General features: G+C 39.9%; 2 annotated features.

The window, feature by feature from the left end:
• Positions 5,238-5,738: an enhancer, noted in NCBI's record as "H3K4me1 hESC enhancer chr1:59572908-59573408 (GRCh37/hg19 assembly coordinates)". NCBI's record gives its function as "activates a minimal SCP1, AML or CMV promoter by ChIP-STARR-seq in naive H9 embryonic stem cells {active_cell/tissue: H9 hESC(naive)}" and the evidence as "EXISTENCE:reporter gene assay evidence [ECO:0000049][PMID:30033119]".
• Positions 5,739-6,239: an enhancer, noted in NCBI's record as "H3K4me1 hESC enhancer chr1:59573409-59573909 (GRCh37/hg19 assembly coordinates)". NCBI's record gives its function as "activates a minimal SCP1, AML or CMV promoter by ChIP-STARR-seq in naive and primed H9 embryonic stem cells {active_cell/tissue: H9 hESC(naive and primed)}" and the evidence as "EXISTENCE:reporter gene assay evidence [ECO:0000049][PMID:30033119]".

Genomic DNA, 26,280 nt, shown 5'->3' on the forward strand with positions numbered 1-26,280 from the left:
TCTCCCTAGGAGGAGCAGCAGATAATTTGTAGCTCAGAGGAGCAGCAAATAATCTACCACAAATACGCAAGTGTAAAAAAAAATAAGGAACATTTCCATGAGTGCACCTGGAGTGATTGCCAGAAAAAAAGCAAAGCACAAAAGTATACATATAGGATGCTACCTTTTGTGAGAAAAAAAGAAGAAATAAGAAAACTCATATGTATCTATCTCCTTACTCTTGCAAAAAGAAACACAGGAATGATAAATCAGGAAACAATAAAATTGGTTACCTGCAAAGCTTGAGAGAATGAAGGGAGAACACTTCTCTGAGTACACCTTTTTGTATAGCTTGACTTTGGAAGAATGTTAATATTCTACAGATTCAAAAAACAAAGTTAAATCAACAAGGAAAAACATAAAACTGAATACAAACAGAAACAAATATACCAAATAATTACTTCAGATACTGGAGAAAAACAAAGGCTACTGTAAAAGACACTATTGGTACAATTTTAAAAACTGGAATATGACCTATATATAAAAGTGTTCTATTAATTTTAAATTTCCTGAAACTTCACTGGGGTTATATAAGAGAATACCTTTGTTCTTAGGTAGTATATACAGAAGTATTAAAAGGTATGCTATATGGAGCATGATATAGGCAACCTACTCTTAAATGGTTCAAAAAATACATTATATATTATTATATAATTCAGTCATGCACTGTAAATGATATTTCAATCAACGGTTAGCCACATACATGATGGTGTTCCTATAAGATTATAATACTGTTTTTGTTGTTGTTGTTGTTGTTTGAGACAGAGTCTCGCTCTGTCACCCAGGCTGGAGTGCAAGGTTGCCATCTCAGCTCACTGCAACCTCCGCCTCCCAGGTTCAAGTGATTCTCCCTGCCTCAGCTTCCCAAGTAGCTGGGATTACAGGTGCATGCCACCATGCCCAGCTAATTTTTGTATTTTTAGTAGAGACGTGGTTTCACCCTGTTGGCCAGGCTGGTCTCAAACTCCTGACCTCAGGTGATCCACCTGCCTCGGCCTCCCAAAGTGCTGAGATTACAGGCATGAGCCACCTCGCCCAGCCTATAATACAGTATTTTTGCTGTATCTTTTCTATGTTTAGATACACAAATATTCACCATTGTGTGAAAATTGCCATGTGTACAACAGTACAGTGACATGTTGTACAGGTTTGTAGCCTAGCACCAGTGTGCTATACCATAAGCCTAGGTTCACAGTAGGCTATACCACATAGGTTTGTGTAAGTACACTCTATGATGTTCAAACAACAACAAAATTGCCTAATGCCACATTTCTCAGAACATACCTCCTTCGTTAAGTGACACATGACTCTATTACAGAGTGTCCCACAAATCTTAGTGCAGATTTAACTTTTAAAGTTTTCAAAATATAAATGCTACAACTTACAAACAGTATCATTTTGAAATTTACTTGTTTCTTTTAATTCAGTTTTGTGACTTCTGAATAACCTTTTTATTTTAATATTTTTGTTTCAGTGAATTTTTGCCACCTTCAATGAGAAAGACTGAAACAAAAAACTCAGAAGAAAGAAAGAGACTGAGATAGCAAATATGACAAACTGTTAAAAATTCATGAATCTGTTATGGAATACTATGCAGCCATAAAAAAGGATGAGTTCCTGTCCTTTGCAAGGACGTGTATGAAGCTGGAAACCATCATTCTGAGCAAACTAAAACAGGAACAGAAAACCAAACACCACATGTTCTCACTCATAAGTGGGAGTTGAACAATGAGAACACATGGACACGGCGGGGTGGTGGGAACATCACACACCGGGGCCTGTCAGAGGGGAGGGGGCTAGGGGAGAGATAGCATTAGGAGAAATACCTAATGTAGATGATGGGTTGATGGGTGCAGCAAACCACCATGGCATGTGTATACCTATGTAACAAACCTGCATGTTCTGCACATGTATCCCAGAACTTAAAGTATAATAATAAAAAGAGAGATTAAAAAAATTGGTGAATCTGGGCAAAATGTACACAGGATTTTTCTGTACTGTTCTTGCAACTTTTCTACAGATTTGAAATGTTACAAAATAAAAGGTATTTTTAGAAAAAGAGTATACAGTTGGAAGTGACTGAGGCATGTGTGTTTTTGTACCTAGGGTTGTCTGATACCAAAGCTCAAGTTCATTCTACTTCGTGGCACTGCCTTTCATTTTGAGCAGGAGAATCGGGTTTGCACAGACTCGTGCTTTCTCTAATCATTAAGACAAAGGATCATAGGCACAGTGGCCAGGATTGGGGAGTCAGTTTGCAGCCTTGGAGAAAATGAAGGAAAAAGGCCCCCTCCCACCATCCTTTGTCTTTCAGGGACTCACTCTTCAATCCACTGAGCTAACCAACTCCAGACCTTTCCCTAAAGAGAACCATGTAATAGGCATGTAAAGCGATGAAGGGATTGTTTTGGAAACTTGTGTAAATAGCTCTTTGGGCAGGAGAAAGATTGCCAACACCTGCTATTTGTTTTCTGGTATTTATTAGAGCCACCCTGTGAAGGACCTCTAAGCTTCCTGGATCTTATTCATTTATCTGAGTTCACTCTTGGTTCAGGGTCAACATTTTTCAGGGCCTGCAAAAAGCTGGCAAGGATCAGAGGAGGGTCACTGACTCCGGGCTTTGTAGGTGAATATGTAGGTGAATATGGTTCAAAGAATGCCAAGTGGATAACAGTGATCTTGAAGCCAAATTTGGTTGCTCATGATGCTTTTCCTAACCCATCACTTTCTATTCCCTTCTCCTTATAGTTATTTACTAATTCATCCATCCATCTATCCATCTATTTACCCACTAGAGTAATAATTATAATTAGGCGGCCAGGCACAGTGGCTCATGCCTGTAATTCCAGCACTTTGGGAAGCCAAGGCAGGCGGATCACCTGAGTTCAGGAGTTCAAGAGCAGCTTGGCCAACATGGTGAAACCTCATCTCTACTAAAAAATGCAAAAATTAGCCAGGCGTGGTGGTGCACACCTGTAGTCCTAGCTACTCAAGAGACTGAGGCGGGAGACTCGCTTGAACCCGGGAGGTGGAGATTACAGTGAGCTGAGATCACACCACTGCACTCCAGCCTGGGCAACAAAGCAAGACCCTGTCTCAATAAATAAATAAATAATAATTAGGCCCACATCACAAAAGGCATTGTGCTAGATGCTGGGAATACAGTGATGAATAAGACTGCTCCATGCCCTAGGAAGAGAGAGGGACAGACAATTTTGTACAGCAAGGTAAGTGCTGTCATAGTCATAGGTACAGGGTACCATAGAAGAGGGGTACCCAGCCCAGCCTGGTGAGGTAAATCCAGGGACATCTTCAGAGCTGGGTCAGAAAAATGGTGGGACTGGTGGGTTAGAAAGAGAAATACCATGAGCAAAAGCATGGTAACCTAAACCGTTGCCTTTCCAAAGTGTGGTCCGTTGATCAGCAGAATTAGCATTACCAAAACTTATCTAGAACTGTTAGAAATGCAGAATCTTGCCCCCCTCAGACCTCCTGAATCTTATCCTGAATGTTAGTAAGATCTCCCAAGGAATTCCTAAGCACATTAATGTTTGAGAGGCATTGGTCTAAACACCATTTCTTGGGGAAATTACCAGTGGCTTATAGGCATCTTGTTCTCAGTCCAGGGCTCTCTTCCCCCAGCCACTGTTATCTCCTACTGCTGACTTGAAGATTCAGCTCTGGGCTCTCCCTCCACTCCCTAACTTGCTTCAGACACCAACATCCCAGCCACCTTCAGATTTCTGAGCAGTGAGTTCTTCCCCCTGGGAGAATTGCTAAGTCTAGTTTTCTTTTAGTTATAACACTGTCTGTACTTTTTGACCCAGTAATTCCATTCTGAGGACATTAGCCCAAAGGGAAAAAAAAATCCAAAAGAAAATAGTTATTTGTAGTCAGATGTTAAATGTTTACCACTGCGTCATCCTCAAGCACAAACAATCAAAGGAGAAACCTCCCAAATGCCAAGCAAGCAATGGTGTAGGAGTAGGGTGGGGAGCTGGTTGTTTCCTAAGCACTCTCAGGAATAGCCAGGGCTCAGGTCATGATGTCGTGGGAAGTGTCCTGGCTGGGAAGACAGAAAACCTGGGTCAAGTTCTAGTTTTGCTACTCCAGAACGGATCCCCTGGGGTAAGCCCATTCCTGTCTGAGGGTTTCAGGTTCGTCTGTGATCTCTAAACTTTAACATTCAGTCTGTGCACATTGGTGGCCCCAGATCCTCCCAATATATGCCTGCCCTTCCATGCAGAAGGGCAAGGGTCAGAGCACAGACCCTGGGAGAGGTGGCCTAGAGACAGAAATTCAAGCGAAACTGGCAATAACTGCAGGGAGAGAGCAGAAAAAGAACACGTACTGAACCCTGTGCAGACTCTGCGATACTAATAAAAGCTAATGTTCACTCAAAGCTTACTGTTTGCCAGATGCTGTTTTAAGTGCTTTTGTATGAATGAACTCACTTAATCTTCAGATCAACACTATAAAGTAACAATTATTATTCTCCCATTTTCCAAATAAGGTTCAGAAAGGTTCAGGAACTTGCCCAAAGACACTCTGCTAGAAGGGGCAGGGCCCAGGGTTGAACTCTCATGGTCAGACCCCAGAGCTCACATACTGGACCTCTAACCTCGTGCTCCTCCTCACCATGATTGCTGGACCAGCATCATCAGCATCCTTTGGAGACGTGCTAGGAAGACCATGCTCTCCAACCCACCCAATCAGAAAGTGGGGGTGTAGTACAGTGGGGCCCTCTGGTTTTTTATATTTATTTTATTTTATTATTATTATTATTATTATTATTATTATTATTATTATTATTACTATTATTTGAGACAGGGTCTTGCTCTGCTGCCCTGGCTGGAGTGCAGTGGTGTGATCATGGCTCACTGCAGCCTCTACTTCCTGGGGTCAAGCGATCCTCCGACCTCAGCCTCTCAAGTAGCTGGGACTATAGGTGCAGGTGCACACCACAAAACCCAGCTTTTTTTTTTTTTTTTTTTTTTTGAGAAACTGGGTCTCACTACGTTTCCCAGGCTGGTAGCAAACTCCTGGGCTCAAGCAATCCTCCTGCCCCAGCCTCCCAAAGGCTTGGATTACAGGCATGAGCCATTGCATCTGGCCTAGCTCTATTTTAACAAGCTTCCCCCACTCCTCAAGTGATTATCATGTATGATAAATTTTGAGAACCTTGCTCTAGATACTAACTGCTTTCAGTAACTCATAAAATTTTTTATAATTAAGGATAATTAACACCACTATTTCACTGAGGCAACTGAGCCTCAAAAGGGTCTCATGCTCATGGGTCAAACAGCTAGAAAATAGTACAGCCAGGATTTCAACCTGAGCCCCCTATGTCGAAACACCGGCTTTTTTCACTATACCATGCCCATGTTCAGTACCTCTCCAGAAATCAGTTTATCCAGAAGTAGAAGAGAGGGAGAAAAGAGAGTGGGAAGGCACTGGCCCTGATACCAGAGGAGGGTGAAAAAAGAGGATACATATGGAAAAATTGGCCAAACCTCATCTCTTTGGTCATCATGCCCCTAAAGTGGTGGTGGCAGCTTGGTTCTGCCTTGTTGGGCAACCTCATGTGTGCTGGGCTGCTGATTTTCCTGGGCCTCAAGCATCGGACCTATTCTTAGCTCAGCCCCGATGGGACATGTTTGCCGGGTATTGCCAAATCACAAGAACAATCACACCCTAGTAGCAGGCAGGCTATGCTTGGCTCACAGACCATGCAGGGCTGTCTGGGCATGTACCCAGCCTCCGCCCAGATGCTGGTCCCACCTGGACCAGCCCTAGGTGGGAAGAAAGAGATTCCAGGGGAATCCGGGCCATTGCAAATCCTTTCTCTAGTCACAAGATGCTGTTGCTGAACAGGATCTCAAAAATCCAAGAGGCCCACAGGGGCACTGTAACTTATCGCTGGTCACCCAGCCAGTGGGTGGTAAGGTGGAATTCAGAATCCCAGTCCTCCTGACTTCTTTTCCCTATGCCGTACAATCTGAGTTCTCCAATATGTTTGTTTATTTGTGTTCTGTCTGCTTCTGCTAACCAGAAAAAAAAAAAAAATTAGCCAAGGAATGCCAATACCCATTGTAACAGATGGAACCTCCCAGGAGGCGGTTTGCAAATGGAGACAGCAAACTGGCGACCCCAGGAGGTGATTTTTTATGAACAGCATTAGGGATCCAGTGGCACTGGTAAAAGGAACAAAAAGTATGCCTCACAATTGTAGGCAGCACTTTTATGCTAATGTCCCCCCCCCAAGTGTTAAACGTTTGCTTTCCTTTATTAGCTAATATCACAAGTTACTCAAGAGAGAAGAGGGGCCAGATGTTTCATTATTATTAATTATAAAGATATAAGTAATGATAATAACTGCTGTCTTTGGTGTCAGGCTTTGTGTTTTACATTCATCAGCTCATTTAAGCCTTACAATAATGTCGTGAGGTGAGTAATATTAATATTAGCTTCATTTTACAAATGGAGAAATGAAGGCTCAGAGAGGGTAAGTCACTTGCTCAAGGTCATACAGCTGGTAAGTGTCAGAGCCAGGCCCAAGAGCTCCAAAGTATGTGAGCTTAAACTTATGGAACACCCCTTTTAGAAAAGAGGAGACTGGTTGGGAAAGCAGAAGACAGATGGACAAACAGATGTGACAGCTGCCTTCACATAGCAAATGCTTTATTTTGTAGAATAAAGAATAAGCAAGACCTGTTTCCTGAAAACACCAGAGCAGCTACATAGAAGTTACAGGGTTGCACATGTCATTCAGTGTAAGAAATGACCACTGTTGACTCACAGAGAAAGTTGTTCAGATGGTAGCCCCCATCTCTGGAAATGCACATCATAATTGCACTAGGTGATTATCTAGTCCAGACCTCTCTTCTACTCCATTGTAAATGAAGTAGAGAGAGGTCTGGACTAGACAATCCCTAAAATCCCTTCCAGCTGGGGGATTCTACAGTTTGTGAGCATTTAAGCATCTTGAGGGTAGATATGGCATTCAATATCTCTCCATGCTCCCCAGAGCATAATGGCACAGGCCTACACAGGCAGTGGTAAGAAAATGTCTGCTGGTGTTGCCAGTAATGTAATCACTTTCCTCTGCCTGGTCCTCAAAATGGGAGATCAAGGAGATCTCTCTTTGCCACATTAGCAGGTCTCAATTCCAGCAAGTGGCAATAAAGCCCTCATTTCTCAGTCTCCCTGAGCCCTAGGCCTGGCAATTTGAAACACAGAGGAGGACAAAGGACTAAGAAACACAAAGGACCAATATCTGGCTAATGGGACATAAACAGAACTGCAGTGTACAAATTCCGGGAAGTGTCCTTAAAGGGGAGAGGGTACCCTTCCCCAGCCCTCCTCTGCCATGCTGCTGTCTGAAAAACAGATATGACTAAAGCTTGAACAGCCATCTTCAGTGATGAGATGGAAACCATGAGTTGAGAAGGGCAGAGCAATAAGATAGAAAGAGGCTGGATTTGACAATCAGGGAGCTGCCATACTAGGCCTGTGCTGCCTACAGGATGAGACAGAGAAGGAAGCTTACCATTATTTTAGGTGTTCTGTTACTCCCAGTGGAATCCAATTCTAATTCTTACAGAGTTGAAAAACATTCTGAACAATCAAATGAGCGAATAATTGTGAAAGTAAATCTGAGTAAGCTATTGAGATGTACATAATTATAGAAGAAGGGGAGAAAGGGAAAGGGAAGGAGAAAGCAAAGAGAAGGAGGAGAAGGGTAGAAGAAGAGGAGGAGGAGAAAGACTAGGAAGAAGAAAAGGAAGAGGAAAAGAAGGGAGGCGGGAAGGAGGAGGAGATGATGATAATGACAGGCATATGTCTTGCTTACAACCAGACTACAATATTCCTGGAGTCCGAGGTAGAAAGAATGCTCCATTCTCACTGCCACATTACATCCTCATTACATCTCACCTGAAATGTTGGGTCGGCTATTTGGTGTCTGTCTATAGTCTTCTTCCCTCTCCTTGATCCATTCTGCCAGCTATTGCCCAAGTCTTCAATATCACTCCCTTGCTCAAAATGGGTCCAGGCCGACTTTGTGTTTCAGATGAGAAAAGGAGCCCTTATTCTGACGTTTGCCAAAAATCTATCATTTCTGCCTTATACCTACTTCACACCCCTTGTCCTCTCACAAACGGTCTGTTTCAGGAAGAGTAAATTATTCACTGCTCCCCAAATGTACCTGCTAAATTCCTGCCTCTGTCCCTTTGCTCCCACTGGTCCCTCCACCTGGGATGTCCTTTGTCCTCTGAGTGCTGACAGCTCAACTGTCCTTCACAACTCTGGTCAAATGCCCCCTTTTCTATCAATAACTCACAACTCTCTTTGCCCCAGCTGGAGTCAATCTCCAAAGCCCATACATGTTTTAGTATGCATGACTGCCTCTTTGGACCCCCACACTAAAGCCTGTCTGTAGCAGGAGGACACAACATCAGCAGAAGGAGGAAGTGGGGGAGGAGAGAGTGTCTTTCTCTGGGGCTAATGATTATGACTGGCCACCGCTCCAACTCCATCTGGGATTCCTCATTGCCTCTTAGAGAAACAGTCATCATCTAGCCTTATCTTTCTCTTTATTACTGCAAAGATATCCCAGGTCAGGTAAACTAAATTACATATCCTAAGATTTTTCCCATTCGACACTGTGTATTGCTGTGGCCTCCATATGTAATCTTCTCTTCCACCCTAAAGACTGTCCCCATTTCTCAAGGATCTACTCCAGTTTACCTTCTCTGTGGAGCTCTGAGCTATCTCAGTCCTCTATGAGCTGTTTTCTCCGTAAGATATTATCTCACTTTTTTGAATTACCTCTTACCTTATAGAGGATTTATTATGTTCTTATATTCTTTCCTCCAGAGTATATATCCGAGTTTTTATATTTGCTAGACTGTAAAGAACATGGAGCTTTGAAATTAGACAGACTCATCATTGGACAAGATATTAACTTTGCTCAGGCTCAGTTTTCCCATCTGTAGAATAGGGATTTTAACACCTGCCTCGCAGAGTAGTCATGAAGATTAAATAAGAGAGTCTGGTACTCAAAGCAAGGTTAGCAGCACCTGCTCATGAGAATGCGGCAGAAGCACAGAGCCTGACGTGAAGGAGGTCTTCACCGGGGATGGGGAATTACTGAGCTGTTGATTTGGAGGCTCCTGCTGGAGTCTCTGAAGTTTGCTGGGTGTCACTGTTTGCAGCTGTACAAGTTAAGTGAGTGTCACTGTGATCTTGAAAACACTTGAACAAGATGGGCTTGGCTGTAGTGGAAGAGAAACCCTGTAACTTTCAGAGATAACCTCAGGAAAGAAGCTTCTCCTATGCTCAGTGAAGGCCCTGGGACAGACTCATGTTCTGGAATATCCCAGGCTTCCTTGTCACCAGGAAGCTGAGGAGAGCCACATGGAAGTCTTCCTTAATGTGGGGAGACTGGTCTAATAAGAGACAATTGAATGGGAGGCCTCAGGCGAAGTGAGTTGACTGTTGCCCAGTACTCTGTGCTGGTCAGTCTCCACTCAAGGGGTCGGGTTCTCTCAGTGCCACATGCTGGAAGAGGGGCATGGATCCATGCAAGGCTTCAGAAGAGGAAGGCAGCCTGGGGAGAGGATTAAGACGCCATCCTTTGGAAAAATGTATTGAACAAGGCATTAAGTCTAAAAAGAGGAAGTTTAGTGAGCATGGGTTCTATTGACCATATTTGATGTCCACAAGGACAGTCATGTGGACATAAACATGTGAAGTGGGCCCAATGCAGGAGACAGCCAAAAGTGATGAAAACAGACTCAGAGGCTTCTCAGCACACCTGACTCTTACACGTAAGGATAGGGGTCTGGTGTTGCAAGATCCTCCAACTTTTCTAGAGAATATTTACCTCTGGGTTAGTTTGTTTGTTTTTCATGAAACCTCACAATTTTCATTTGAGTAATTGATTCAAAAGCTTTCGTAGCTCTGCACCAGCCAACACTGTGCAGACCAAACAAATCATATCTGTAGGAAATGAGTGGATACCTGGGCTAACAGTTCGCAATTTTTGGATGAGATGCCCTCTAGGGTTGTTTCTAAATTGTACTCTCTAGTTATAAAATAACCCCACAAATTTAAAATTGATTGACTCAAATGGCAGGTGTTGGCATCATGTGCCTTAGGAAAAGATGCTCTGTGGTATTTCTAGTGCCTACCATTACTGTTGCCATCAGCCAAGGCAGAGAGATTGAGAGCACATGTTCTGGAATCAGACAGACTCGGGTTCAGATCCCAGCTCTGTCACTTTCTAGTTCTGTGATCTTGGACAAGTGATTTAGCTTCTGAGCTCAGATTCCTCAGCTGCAGTTGAAATAGTAGCTGAATTTATTGTTTAAAATGTGCCACACACTGATGTAAGTAATTCCTAAATTTTAATCCTATAAACAACCCTCTAAAAGTGGGCAAAATCATCATTATGTTCATTTCACAGATGAAAAAACAGGCACAGAAAAATTCAGGGATCACGGCTAATAAATAGAGAGCTGACATGCAAGTCCAGACACTCTACCCCCAGGTTTGTGCTTTCAACTGCTTTACTCTACTGGCTGGAATCAAAAATAAGGGTGGTAGTGGGAGTGTTCCCTGGGGTTCTCATGAGAATAGAAATGATGATATATGTAAAAGAACTAGCTCAATGCCTGAACATACTAACAATACATTTAAAAGATGCCTACTATTATGTTATTAACCATTTCCTATGTTCATCCGTAATCCCTCCTCCTTTAATCTATCTTTGACCCAGTTTCTCTGTCTCTCCCTTTCTCTTCTCTATTCTAATTATTACAGTAAGGATCATTTTAACACCCAGCTCTGAACAAATGCCCTCTTTATTTATGACCAAGCTATGGCTTATTCCTGTTCACCTTTCTGCTTCCTTCAATCACTCCCTAGCCCCTCCCCAGCCTTTTTTGTTTAATCCCAAGGATTATTTATCAGGTAAATCTATCATTAGGTAATGTTTTAATAATATGTTTCCCATCAGATAAATGGATATTACGTATTCCCTATAACCAGCCATGCTCCATGGTAAATATTACTCTAAAAAGGAAATTCATGACTCATAATCAACTGAACACCCAACTGGGAAGCTGGGGAGCTCCCATCTATGAAAATTATTATTGTTTGATAGATTTTTAGCCCACCTGCTCCCTGAGGGTCCTCTGAGTCATGCTGTACACATGAGTAGCATGCAAACTGGCAGGGGCTGGTTAGTTAGGGATGAAGTCAGGGTTATTTAATAACCTGTATTTATAGTATCTACTTACAAGGGAAAAAATCTCCTCTGTTTTATGCAGGTACCTCTAATCAGGAATTTGCTGGCAACACACACACACACACACACACACACACACACACACACACACACACACAGACACTCACACTGGAACCCACACTTCACCTGCCCCAGCAGGCCAAGGGTGGTGTTTCTCAGTTACCTTCCTCCATCCCACTAGGGAGCTATGGGAAAGATGCTCAGGTTTGGCAATGGTTTATGCCTAGTATGAATCCCCCTCCCATCACTTACTTGCTGTGTGACTCCAGACAAGTAACAAACCCTCTAAGCCTCAATTTCCCTGCCCCCAGAGCTATCATGTGGATTAGATCAAATAAAACACTTGGTACATAGTAAAGTGCTCAAATTTTGGTCCTGCTTAGGGGGACATAGAAGAATGTGAGCCTTGGGGAAATTCTGCTCCAGGACAAGAGCAGCCATATTTTTGAGATCATGTCTGGAGAGAGATAAGGGTCCAAACATTCTAGAACCATGGTTGTCTGTCTACTTTGTATTTATAGGACTGGAAACAACCTCTCCTCCATCATCAAGGCTGAAATTCAAGTTACCTCTCCTTGAGCACTTACTGCATACCAAGGACTGGGATTGATAGGTGTAGGGTCATTTAGAGATGAATATCATAGTTTCCTTGCTACCACAGAGCTCAGAGGCTAATCAGTGATTCCCTAAGTTATGTGTGGTGTCTGGATCACCCGTCTCAGAGTCACCCTGATTCCTGGGCCCCTACCCCAGACTTCTTGAATTACAGTCTCTGGAGGTGGAGCCTCAGGGTCTGCATTCTCACAAGTTCCCCCAATTAATTTTATGTACACTAAGGTTTGAGAACAGCTTGCCAGCAGCTGGCAGCATCTAAGATTTATTATGCATTGACTATTCATTCCTTCATTCAACAAATATTTGTTGAAGGTATTTCTGTGTTAGGCACTGTGCTAAGTGCTTTATGTGCATTGATTCATTTAATTCTCTCAACATATCTATACAGCAGGTGCCATTGACTCTATTTTTCTAGCCCAAGAGCTAAGAAAAGTACATACTTAACCTGACTATGTTAAGTATCATAACAGAGATACATAAAATGTGCTCTGGAAATTCCAAGAAGATAGAAATTGCACTTAATTAAGAAAGGTAGTGCAAGCGAGGAAGATTCTAAAACAGGACAGATCAAATGTCATTCCAGCTGAGTGGCATGGTTTTAGATTCCTTCAGGGTAGGTAAGTCGCTACCTCACAAAAAAAGCCAATTTACTCACAGACACAATGGTTACAGGTGCCTGTGAACCATTCCACAGAGATATTTCTATGTTCACAAAGCCTTTCAGTATCAGGTAAGTTTCTCAGACACATTTGAGAGTTGAATAAATGTATTCATATGCACTGTGAGGGAAGTATTTAATTCTTCCTTTTGATTATGAGGGGAAGTGAGGTGTTTTTAAAACAAGATGTCATTCTTCAACTATTTTGAATAAGAGAAATTAATTTTCTTTAAATAAAACGAAGTTAGTAAGTACCATATTTGTTGTTACAGAGCTATAAATGTGATATCAGGTAGACAAGGATTAAAAAGAGAGAAAGAATGTTGGAAAGGGTGCAGTGAAATGGACATTCTCAAAACTGCCGAAGTTGATGAAAGGGTAAATTGTTACACCATTGCTAGGGGTTATTTAGCAATATGAATCAAGAACTCAAATGAATATTCATATCCTTGACCTTTATAATTCCCATTCTGGGAAACTCTCCTAAAGAAATAAGCAGAGACTAGGATACATTGAGATTTACAAATCAGAATGCTCTCCCTCACACTGTTAATTTTTTTTATTTTTAAAGTCATTAAATCAGAAGCAGTTTAAACATCCTACAACAGAGATTTGTTAGGTAAATTATTGTAAATTCACATGATAGATGTGAGACAAAATGTAAGCTCCATCGGAGCAGAAATCTTTGTCTCTTTTGGTTACTGCTTTATCTCCAGAGCCTATCACAGTGCCTGGCACAGAGTAGACACTCAGCAAATATCTCTTGAGTGAGTATAACATCATAGTTAGGCAGGAGTACTTTGAAGTTGGACCTTCTGTCTCTCAATCTACAGTTGTGGCAACTTTTCCTCAGTAGCCTCATTTGCAAAATGAAGGTGAACATACAACCTTTTTCATAGGATTGTGTGGAGGACTGAAGGGCATGATAAATACATAAGGTGGCATGAACATAGAGACATTAAATAAATGTTAGTTGCCGTTATTATCCATGGAGTCGTAACATTCTCATGGCTAGTAAAAACTTGTATGTCAACTGTACTCAGGGAGATTCAAAATTTGCAATAGAAAAGTACAAATATATTTATATTTAAAAGACTAAGTGGATGCCTATTAAGCATGGTTATCTGTGGGCCATGAGGATCACCATAATTTTCATGAGCAGATAGACAGTGTGCCTCTGAAAGGTCTCTGGCTAATGCCTAAGGTTAATACATCTATACCTTAGTCTCTACATTCATAATCTCAGGAGGAATCAAAGCAATTCAACAAAACCTGGAGAAAAAAAAGAATTGTGCTGTAAGCAATTATTGGAATGGAAAACAGAAGGGCTTTAAAAACTGTATTTACATCAAGCCACATGTTTAGTGTTGATTCTTGATCTTTGTCTGCTCGCTGATAAGAGGCCCATAAAATGAAATTTCATCCTTGGCATGCTTCTAGCATTTGTAGATAACATCTGTGAATCTCAAGGAAAGTCTTATCATTTGCTATTTCAAGGTTTTTCCTTAAGCAATTCTATGGCTCTAGACAGAGCACGCACCCAGACCACCTTTCCAGAACTTTGTCTAACAAATTTGATTAGATCTTGTCAATCTAAAGATTCCAAAGGATAATTTGCATTTTTAGGACTTGCCACAAAACTTTCTGGTGGCATGAGCAACTTATAGTAACCAGTAGTTCAGAGCAGTGGTATTTTCTGTGGTGACTTAGGGCTTTAAGGAGTTACAGACAGACATCACAATATGAGGTTATTTTTCCCAGGCCACCAGCTTTAAATGCAATCTGGGAACCCCAAGGAAGGCTTACGACAAAACTGTAGTTTTGTAGTTCTGCCCGTACTGCAGCATTGTGGGGCTGGTGGTCCAAACTTTCCTTGTGCTCCAAGTGTGGGCTGTGGGGATAGATTGGGAGATAGACCAGTCCTGCACAAAGAATTCAAATGTCAATTACTGAAATCAAGGGTGAGAGACCTCTGGCTTAAAGGACATTTATTAGAATATACCTAGGTAATTTAGTAACCACAAAACAAGCAGCATTTTTTTTTTCTGTCTTCAGCTGTCTAAGAATTCGAAGTAGGGAGAGTTTGGTGAGGGGACGTGCTAGTTGAAATACAGATTACCAGGTCCCAAACCAAGACATTCTTCTTCACTGGATTTGGTGTGGGCACAGTTGTTTGCATTTTTAGTAAGGGTGCCATGTGAAACACACAAATCTAGGAAAACTTTCTGTAAGAAAGTAAATGTTCTGCTAAAAAAGTCACTCCAGTTGGCTTTTGGGGCTATGTAATTATAGGTGCTGGGGCTCCTCTTGATGGGAAAGGGCAAGAAAGGATGAGATTTACATTTTTCTCTTTTACAACATAATAGGACTAGAGAGTTTTCCCACCGTCAGCCCCTGTCAGAGTCTTATGTCTTTGAATTGGGGAGAGAAAGGAACAAGAGCCCAGCCCAATGGAAGGAGGCTGCAGCCAAGAGCGAAGGGGGCAGTGAGTCACTGCCTTCAAGGGGCGGAGGATGAATACCACTGACATGCTGTCTGACATTTAGTCTTAATTGTTTCCTTTCCTGTGATGTGACTTTCCTCTTTTATCACCAAAACTTTGGTAAAATGCTCTGTACAGAGCAGTGTCGTGTTGGTGGTGCATTGGGAGATAAAACAGAGAGGAGCATGCAGGGATTTTCTGGTGAAATATGCTAGAGAGAACTGGGACAGCCATGAGAAGCAGGGATGAGGGAGTGAGAAATGGGTGAGAACTGAGGTGGATGAGTTCATAGGGTGAGCTCCAGAAACTTGAGTGCACCTCTCTTGGGAACTCTTGGGAAGCCTTCTGGAAACTTTGGGTTTGTGGAATATCATTTATATACAAAAATGTGTTCCCATTTTAAGTGTATGGTTGAATCATTTTTGACAAATGTATATACCTATGTAATCACCACCACAATCAAGAAAGATATCCACCATTGTCACCTAAAAATTATCTTTCTATCTAGCCAGTTGATCAACCCTAGCCACAGACAACTGCCAAACAACTTTTTATCACTGTAGATTAGATTTGTCTTTTCTAGAGTTTCATATCAATAAAATTATACAGTATATACACCTTTGTATCTAATAGTACTTTAGGTTCCTCCATGTGGTTGCATTTTTCAGTAGATTGGTTGGTTGAATTATTTGATGAGGAGTAATGTGTTTACCCATTCACCTGTTGATGGTCATTTGGTTGTTTCCAGTTTGGGAACTGTATCAATAAAGCTGTTATGAACATTTGTATACAAATCTTTGTGTGGACATATGTTTTTATTTCTCTTATGTAAATAACTTTAAGTGGAATTGCTGGGATGTAAGATAACCACATGTTTCACTTAACAATTTCCCAGAGTGGTTATACTGTTTTAGTTACCACCAGTACATATGAGAATTTTAGTTGCTTTACACCCTGGTCAAAACTTGGTAGTATCAGTCTTTCTAAATTTAGCCATTTTAATGGATGTGTCCTGATGTTTTGCTGTGATTTTAATTTTCATTCCTCTGATAACTAATAATATTAGGCACCTTCTCATGTGTTTATTGGCCAATCATATATCTTCATTTGGAAAGTGCCTGTTCTAAGTTTGGGCCCACTTAAATTTTTTTTTCAGTCTTTTGATGAGTTGTAAGAGTTCTTTATAAACTTTGAATACTTGTCCTTTGTCAGATTTGTCTATGACAAATATTTTTCCCAGACTATGAAATGCCTTATTATTCTTTTGATTCTGTCTTCGGAAGAGCAGTTTAAAATTTTAAGTCCAATGTTTTCATATTGCATACTTTCCATTGAAATATTTGCTAACATAAAGATTGTAAATATTTTGTTCTGTATTTTGTTCTGGAAATTTCTAGTTTTAGATATAGATATAGATTTAGATTTAGAGATTTAGATTCAGATTTAGATCTATGACCCATTTCAAGTAATTTTTTGTGTTGTGATGTAAGATATTAAGTTGATGGTCGTGTTCCTGATCTTAGGATGAAGGCATTTATTTAGTCATTCACCTTTTGTATGTTAGTGGGTTTTTCACAGACACCCTTTATTAGGTTGAGGAAGTTCCCTTCTGTTTTTAGCTCTTGAGTGGCTTGCCTTTTTAAAGTAATAAATGGATATTGAATTTTATAGAATGTTTTTTCTGCATCCATTGCAGAATTTTTCTCTTTTTTCTGTTAATATGTAAAATAACATTAACTGATTTGTAAATATTAAACCAACATTGTATTTCTGGAAGAAACCCTAGTTAGAGGTGGTATATTGTCCTTTTTTATATATTGTTGGATTTTATTCACTACTCTTTAAAAGGATTTTTACATCTAGGTTCACAAAGGATATGTTTGTAGTTTTCTTTTTTTCATAAATTCTTTGGTCTTGATAGTAGGGTAAGGCTAGCTTCATGAAATGATTTGTGAAGTGTTCGCTCCTCCACTCTTTTGTGAAATAGTTTGTGATGGACTGGTACTATTTCTTCCTTAACTGTTTCATAATTTAACTTGGAAGTCTTTATTGTTATTTATGGAAAGGTTTTAATAATGGTAACAAATTCTATAATAAATTTAGAGCAATACAGATTTTCTGTTTCATCAGGAATCAGTTTTGGTAGTTAGAGTCTTCCAAGGAATTGATACATTTCATGTAAATTGTTTAATTTTTGGCATAAGGTTGTTTATACTATTACCTTATCATTTTAATTTCTGTAAGATGTGTAATGATGGCTCCTTTTTAATTCTTTTTATTGAACATTCATATCTTCTTCCTCTGCTAGTTCATGACTCTACTAGAAATGTATCAATTCATTTATCTTTTCAAAAACTCAGCTTTAGGATTTGGATTCATTGATTATTTTTTCTAAGTTTTATAATCTCTCTTTTTTTTTTTTTTGAGACAGGGTCTTACTCTGTCACCCAGGCTGGAGTGCAGTGGTGTAATCATGGCTCACTGCAATCTCAACCACCTCCCAGGCTCAAGCCATCCCCCATCTCTGTCTCCCAAGTAGCTGGGCTGAGACTACAGGTGTGCACCACCACACCTGGCTAATTATTTTTTATTTTTTATTTTCTGTAAAGATAGGGTCTCACTTTGTTACCCAGGCTGGTCTTGAACTCCTGGGCTCAAGTGATCCTCCAGCTTCAGCCTCCCAAAGTACTGAAATTACCATGTGAGCCACCATGCCCAGCCAATTTCTGTTCATATATGTATTATTTTCTTCAAATGTGTAAAGATACACACTTGAGTTTAAGTCTATCTTCTTTTTCTAGCATCTTAAGGTTGGTCATTGATTTTGGACATTTCTAATTTTCCAATATAAACAAAGCCATAAACTCCCTGGTCACTGTCTTAGTGGCATCCCACAAATTATAAAGTGAATTTTCATTTTCATTCACTACAGTGTGTCTTCTAATATTCTTTGTGATTCATTTTCTGATCATTAGTTATTGAGAACTATCTTATATAATTTCCAAATATTTGAGGATTTTTCCAGACCTGTGCCTAGAAATAGGATTTCTAACATATTCTTACTGTGGCCAAAGAGCATACTTTAAATAGTTTTAATACTCTAAAATTTACTGGGACTTCTTTTACTGCCTTGCATATAATATATCTTAAGTGTTCCATGTGCACTTAAAAAGAAGGTATATTCTGCTATTGGTGAAATTTTGTATAAATATCAATAATATCAAATGGTTAATAACTTTGTTAGAGTCTACTATATTCTTGCTGATTTTCTTTATATCTATGATATCAATTACCGAGAAAGAAGTATTGGAATCTTCCAGATATTATTGTAAATTATCTATTTCTTCTTTCTGTCAGTTTTTGCTTCATGAATTTTGAAGCTCTGGGGTGGGATTTAGGATTATTGTATCCTTTTGATAAATTGATCCCTTTATCATTATGAAGCATCTCTCTTTATCTCTGGTCATGTCATTTATGCTGAAGTCTACTTTATCTGTTATTATTATAGCCATTCCAGCTTTATTATTATATTTTCACAGTATGTTTTTTCCACCCCTTTATTCTAAGACTTTATATTTCAATAGATTTCTAATAGACAACATATTGTTGAGCTTTGCTTTTTTATCTGATCTTAAAATATCTGTCCTTTGAGTGTTTCAACTAGGTTTAATTGAATTTAGCAATACTGTGGCGCTTCACATTTAATATATTTAGCAGTATTGTGGTGCTTCAGTGTACCATCTTGCTTATTTGTATTTTTGTTAGTCCCATCTGTTCTTTTTTCTTTCCTTGTTTTTTCCCACCTTCCTTTGGATTGAAAGTTTTTGTATTATTCCATTTTATTTCTACTACTGTCTTATTAGCCCAGTATTTTATTTTATTTTACTTTTAGTTCTTGCTCTAAGGCAGGGGTTAGCAAACTAAAGGCTGCAGTCAAATCTGACCCATCGCTTGCTTTTATAAAGTTATATTGGAACACAGTTGCACTCATTCATTTATGTATTGCCTATGGTTGTCTATCTAGCTGACGAGTTTCATGCTGCAATGGCAGAACTAAGTAGTTGTCACAGAGACCATGTAGCATGCAAAGCCTAAAATTTCTACTATCTGGCTCTTTACACAAGTTTGCCAGTCTCTGCTCTAGGGTTTACTATAGGTTTCCTTAACTTATTACAATCTACCTTCAAATAATATTATACCACTTCACATATAAAAACCTCTCCTGTCTTTTGTTCCACATTTTACTTCTGCATATATTATAAGCTTGCAAATATATTATTACATTTGTTTTGAAGGGCCCATTTTACATTTCCTTGCACATTTACCACACCTTGCACTCTCCATTTCTTTTCTATATCTAAGTTTCCATCTGCTGAAATTTCCTTTCTGTCTAAAGGATATTCTTCAATATTTCTTATAGTTTAAGTCTGCTGGCAACAAATTACCCCAGCTCACATTTGTCTCCAAGTATTTATTTAATTTTATTGCTGAGGAATATTTTTACTGGATCTAGAAATCTAAGCCAACAGTTTATTTTGTTCTTTCATTCAGCACTTTAAATAACATGGTCCATTGTCTCCTTGTGTAGTTTCAGATGAGAAGTCTGTACTTATGTTTTATCTTTGTTCCTTTATACATAATGTGTCTTTTTTCCTTTGGTTACTTTTAAGATTTTCTCTAAATTGTTTGTTTTCAAAAATTTGGTTATAATGTGCTCCGGTGGAGTTTTTGTTTTCCTATTTGAGGTTCATTGAGCTTATATTTTTCATCAAATTTGGAAAATTTTAGCCATCATGTCTTCAAATATTCTACTGTTTTCCCTTGCCCCAGCCTGTCCTTCTGGAACTTTATGTTACACCACTCCAAATTGTCCCAAAGGTCACTGAGACACTGTTCATTATTTTTTGGATCATTTTCTTGCATATGATTCATTTTGGATAGTTTCTATTACCAGACTTTGAGTTTACTAATATTTTCTCTTGCAATTATACTTTCAATCTTTCCAGAAGATGTTTCATTGGCATATACTGTATTTTTTTAATTTCTAGAAGTTTCACTTTGTCTTTTTAAAATATATCTTCCATTTATTTCTTTACTACATATATGTTTACTTTTTATCATTTCGACAGAGCTTAACAGCTGTTTCAAAGTCTTTGTCTGCTGATTCTATCATTTCTATGATTTTCTGATTGATTTTTCTTCCTGATTATAGAACACATTTGCCTACTTTTTGGCATGTCCTGTAATTTTTTATTGGATACTGAATATTGTGTTTTGAGCATCTGGATTTTCTTGTTGTCCTTTAAAGAAGTTGAAGTGTTTCCTGCCAGTTAGACAAGTTACTTGTTGATCGGTTTGATCCTCCCAAGGCTTGTTTTGAAGATTTTTAGGGCAAGTCTAGAGAAGCAATGACTCTAGGGATAATCCCACCACCCAGTCATGACACTTCTGTGGTCTCTACTGAAGGTCCAGGTGATCCGTGAGGACGTTCCGCTCCTGCTGGTTGGAGTTTACATGTCTCTCACTGCTGTGATTTTTGGGGATTGCTCAGTCTCCAGCTCCCCATTCATTGCCTGGCCTCGTGGAGTTTTGCCCTAGGCATGCATGACCTAATATTCGGCAAAGACTCTGAAGTGATTTTTCTATGCAGCTCTCCTCTCTGAAACTCTGCTCCACAATTTTGAGTCACCTCAGCCTCCCTGAACTAAATCTCTGTCCTCAACTTAGTGAGACTGCTGAGCTCTGCTGAGGATTCCTCAACCTGCCATGGGGTACAGAATGAGATCCCAGGCAGAAGGCCAAGGGCTTACCTCACTTTTCCCCCGTTTCTTAGGAATCAAAGTATTGCACTATCTGTTGTCCAACATCTGAAAACACTTGTTATGTCATTTTCACCCAGTTTTCTTGTTGTTTATGATGGGAGAATATGTCTGGACTTTTGTCATTCCATCATGGCCTGAAATGGAAGTTCCACTATTACACTTTTATTTATACATAAGAGAGAAGGGCAAGCCTCAAGACTGGAGGCAGAGATAGTCGTGTTACAACAACCAAACAAGATGAAAAAGCTAGGTTGGTCTGCATTAATAGAGGTGTGGTGTCTGAAACAAGGAAGGTGATCATCCCACTGTTCTCCACACATGACTGGACTTGTTCATTTATTCATTTATTCCATAAGCATGCTTTGACTGCATGATTTGACCACCTCCTTTGTCAGCTTCTGTGGTAGGCACTGAGGATACCATGTTGCATGAGATATAGCCTTTGTCATTAAGAAACTCATAGACCAGAAAGGAATAGGCAAATAACATGGAAATAACAATGCATCATGATAAGGAATGCAGTAGAGATAAACCCAGAGGTTATGAGAACCCAAAGCGGGGGATACCTATTCCAGCCTGAGCAAGGGTAGGGGAATCAAGATGAACCCTGTGGGTAAGGATGGCTTATGAGTAAAGTCCCAGTGGATGAGTAAGAAAGAAAGCATCAGCTGAAGAAAGTGAGGGGAATTGGAAGTAAAGCACACATATGCAAAAGCTAATTTAATTTCTTCTGGGAATTGGAAGTATTTCAGTGTGGCTGAAGTGCCACAAGGGTAATAGAGGAATGGGGTGAGATTAGGCCGAAAGGAGATATAATTGATGAATAACATAAGGTCTCATTAAAATTTTAAACTTTATCCTGGAGAACTGAGAACTATTGAATAGTTTTCCCAGGTAAATAACATGGTCTCATTTATGTTCTGGAGAGATGTCATGGAAAGATGTTTGGAAAAGGAGGCTCTAGGGGGGAAATAATAATCCATCAGGCAGCAGTAGCATTAATGCAGGCAAAAGATGACATGGGCCTGAGCTATGTTATTGGAAATGGGAATCAAGAAAAGTAGATGAATGAGAGATATTTACAGCATAGTCAACTAAGCTGGAAGACTGATTGGATATAGAAATTAAGGAAGAGGTAGCCATCATACATAGCACCCAGGTTTTGACTTGGAAAGCTAGAGTATTCTATTAAGAAATACCATATTCCTTGGTTTTGTTAGGATTGACTCTTGTCTTGCCATCTATGTGATTTCAGGCTTTTCGTTGCCCGGACCTATGCACTTCCTCTGGATGTGTGAGTTTGTTTTCTGTACTTAAAGTTGCCTTCCATCTCTTGCCTCTTCTCACAGTCAGAATCTGTGTGAGCTAAGCTCATGGCTTCTCTCCTGGCTCTGTCTGGGTCACCATGTCAGGTTCCTTCTTGGGTCTGTCTCCCCAGCTATGTGATCTGGACTCTAATCTCCACTGTTACTATATTTCTTTCTATGACTCATGGAATATTGTGACATAGAACTGACAAAATAATACTTGGAGATCAGAGCTAGAAGGGAGTTAAACCTTTTTGTGGTACAATATACCAGTTTTTCAATTGAAAAAAATGAAAACATAGTTCCATCATGTCATTCATACATTCACTGAGCATATGTTGATTTTACTACCCTGCCTGGGTCAAACAGGACTAATCAACAATTATAACTCTCCCATATAGAGGTGGATCTGTAGGTTCTTACAATCTTGTATGAGGTAAGAAAGATGTTGATTTCCTTCTATTGTGGATATTAACAGTAGGGAATAGAAGGTTCAAGCTATAAAAAGTAGACATAAAAAACAGGAGAACTGATCATGAAAGACTGATGGGACTGTGGCAAAGACTGCTAATCATCCTATAATATTGGTCCTCCTCTTTTTTAGTAACACAGCCTTCAGTTTTTAGGTTGAGTACATGGCCCATAATAAAATCCTTATACTTAAATGGATGTGTCAAAGTCCCCACATAGTATAGATGATATATTCAAAGTAGAATAACTCCAAGAAGATTGATTTATAAAGGGGCTAATGACTGAGATTGGGTATGGAGAAACTTTAAGAGTAGTGTAGTAAGCAAAGCTCATGTCAGCCAGGCTGTTGTTAACTCCTTTGGGGCTGCATGGGATGGAGAGAAGGAAGAGTTACCAGAACCTGGAAAAAGAGAGAGTCAAGTAGTGCCATTCATTTTGCAAGGATCAGTTATCTTGAGTTGAGGGACAGAGCCAGCCAATGCAACCTTGATGGGAGGGATCCAGAAAAATAAATACCCTGACCTCACTCTTCTCTTTTTCTGATCTCCTGCTAGAATCCCTACTGTCTGAGCTAGAACCATAGAAACCAAAGGTTACAATAGCCCACTGATGTGGTTGACACATGCCAACCCACAAAGACAGACAGCAGACGACGAGGAGTAGGCAGTGCATTTGGGGAGGCAAATGGAAGATAATTGGCATATGGGAGTTATGTAACTAAGCAGAAATGGTGTGTTCAGCTTCTGGGATACATCTTTAGAGGGAGGAGCATGTCTTCCTCCTTCCTGTAAGCTAGAGTAATGACATGATGCCTGAAATTTGAGCAGCCATCTTGGTCCACAAGATGAAAGCTCCATCCTGAGACTGGTGGAACAAGAATCCCTGAGGGAACCTGAATCCCTGAGAACTAGGCAACTAGACCTGGTTGCCTACATTTCATTGAGAAAAATAAACTTGTACTCTTTTTAGGCCATCGTTATTTTGAATTTTCTATCACTTGCAGCTGATGCAAATCCTAACCAACTCAGAGACAAAACAGGAAATTCTTTTGGACTACATTGGTCATATTTTTTTTTTTACTTGTAAGCATCTAAAATGGAGTTCTTTTGCTTAAGCAAAGGAAACATTTATTGGAAGAATGCTGGGGGTGTCTCAGAGAATCAAAGGAAATGCTGAACTACCAAGATAGGAGGACCCAGGGCAATTCTGGTTTCTTGAAATTCTTCATGGTCTCTCTTTCACCCTTGAGGACTGCCACAAACATGACTCTTTCCCCAGCAACTCCCAATCTCTTCAGCAACTCATTCCAATTTTCATATTTCTACTAAAGAGAATCTGACTAAGGTAGCTTGGGTCAGGCTCTGGTGTCTCTGTGGGTTAAGAGGTCACAATACAGACAGGGCCATTGGGGGGGCACCTGAAATTCTTAAAGCCATGGATGTGTAGTGAGTCGGTCACCCCAGGAGGTGTGATTCAAAGTGAAAAAGGCACCAACCTCTAAAACATTTGTGTAAGTATAGTGTATCTCCACAATGAAGTCACAGCTCTTTGAGAGCATGTTTCATGCTTTTTCTGGAAGCAACTTGGACAACAAAAATGCCTGGTTTATAGTAGACGCTGAATAAAGGATCATTTCCTTTCACTTTCCCCCATAATCCCTGATATTACAAGTCTCATTACAGGAATAGGGGTGGCAACAACTGAAAGCCAGAATGTTTTGTAAATTTTGTGCAACCAGATTCACCAAAATTCTCAATATCTACCATATGCCAGGCGTATATTGAATACAATTGACAGAAGAAAATAGTAAATGTTTTTAAGAGCTCACAGTCTGGCAGGGAAGAGAAGCATGTAGATGACTCACAATAATAGTGAGTTATGTGCTGTAGTAGAAATAAGTATAAGATGCCTTAAGAGTATAGGGGAGAGAGCAACTGAGAGAGTTGGAAGAAGTGACATTTGAGGTGGTGTGTGTGGATGAGTAGGAGTCCTGCAGGGATAAAATGGATGAGGAGAATTCTAAGCCAAAGGAATAGCATGTTCAATGGTACTGAGGCATAGAAATGCTGAGCTGTGTTCAGGAAACAGCTAAAACCTTCATGTGAATAGACTCCTAGGCATAGACTAGAACCATATTTAGTCATTTGATAATAACAATTGAGTACCTGTACTGTGCAGGGTTACTAGGGGGTCAAGGAAAAATGATAAAGAAAATGTGGTATATATGCATAATGGAATACTAGTCAGCCAAGAAAAATAATGAAATTATGTCTTTTGCAGCAACATGAATTGGAGGCCATTATTTTAAGTGAAACAACTCAGACACAGAAAGAAAAATACTGCATCTTCTCACTTACAGGTGAGAACATAATAATGTGTACTCATGGGCTTAGAGTCTGGAATAGTAGACACTGAAGACACAGAAAGGTGTGGGGTGGCAGGGGGGTGGATAATAAGAAATTACTTAATGGGTACAATGTATGTTATTCCAGTAATCGATACACTAAAAGCCCAGACTTCACCACTACACAATATATCCATGTAACAAAATTATACTTATACTCCATAAATTTATACAAATTTTGTATAATTTTTGTACAAATTTTGTATAAATATCAGTGCCAGGCACTGTGCTATGGATTTTACATGTTATCTCATTTAAACTGAGGCTGATCTACAATTCTTACAAAGAAAAATGAGATGTACTTCTCACCTTCAGTGGGAAGGGCAACCACAATGACTATGATTAGATGAGTGCAATACCAGATGGGGACAAAAACTTTCCTGTGAGTTTTTGGGGGAGTTTTAGGGGAGGGGACATTATCTATGGACTCAGGAAGAGGAGCCCAGAGCTCTAGGCATAGGTTGGAGATTTGAATGCCATGCAAAACTGCTTCAGTTTCTTTATCTTGCAGGTCATAGTGCCCTCTAAAATTTTTCATACATGTTTGTTAAGCAGGAAGGCTCATTTGCAGAGGTTGCTTTAAAACCTTCTGTCTCAAAAAAGGACAATCCCATTTGTTTTATACTTGTTTGCCAGGCACTGTGCTATGGATTTTACATGTTATCTCATTTAAACTGATGCTGATCTGCAGGTGGAGAGGGCTGTGTGTCCAACTTTGGAGGTGAGCAAGGCAGAGAACAGAGAAGAGTGCTGTGTAGTGTCGGTGGGGATGGTTGGGCATGTTAATGCTGTTTTATGTGTAGGGTGCAGGGAATTAAATTCTCACAGTTCAGAGAAAGGTCCCTGCCTTGATCAAAATGGCTGCTATTCATTGAGTATGTATGATGAGTCAAAGCCTTAATTACTCCATCAGCCAGAAATATGGTGAGCTGCAAATCACTTCAACTACCTACAGTCCACTTGTCTCAAGCCGTGAGGAGTCCAAGAAAAGCAGTCCAACAATACCACCAAAGACCCACTCATCGTTTTTCTAAGACAGCTGTTGCATCTCCAGGTCTCTTTTCCCTATTCCAAGAAGGAAGAAAAGGAGAAGAAAGGCTTTTACCAAAAAGGTTTAGCTTTCTTATTCAGGACCAGAAACCCTTCCCTGAGACTTATGCTTACATTTCAT

The sequence above is a fragment of the Homo sapiens genome, chromosome 1 (genome assembly GCF_000001405.40).
Source record: "Homo sapiens chromosome 1, GRCh38.p14 Primary Assembly".
Classification (NCBI taxonomy): Eukaryota; Metazoa; Chordata; class Mammalia; order Primates; family Hominidae; genus Homo; species Homo sapiens.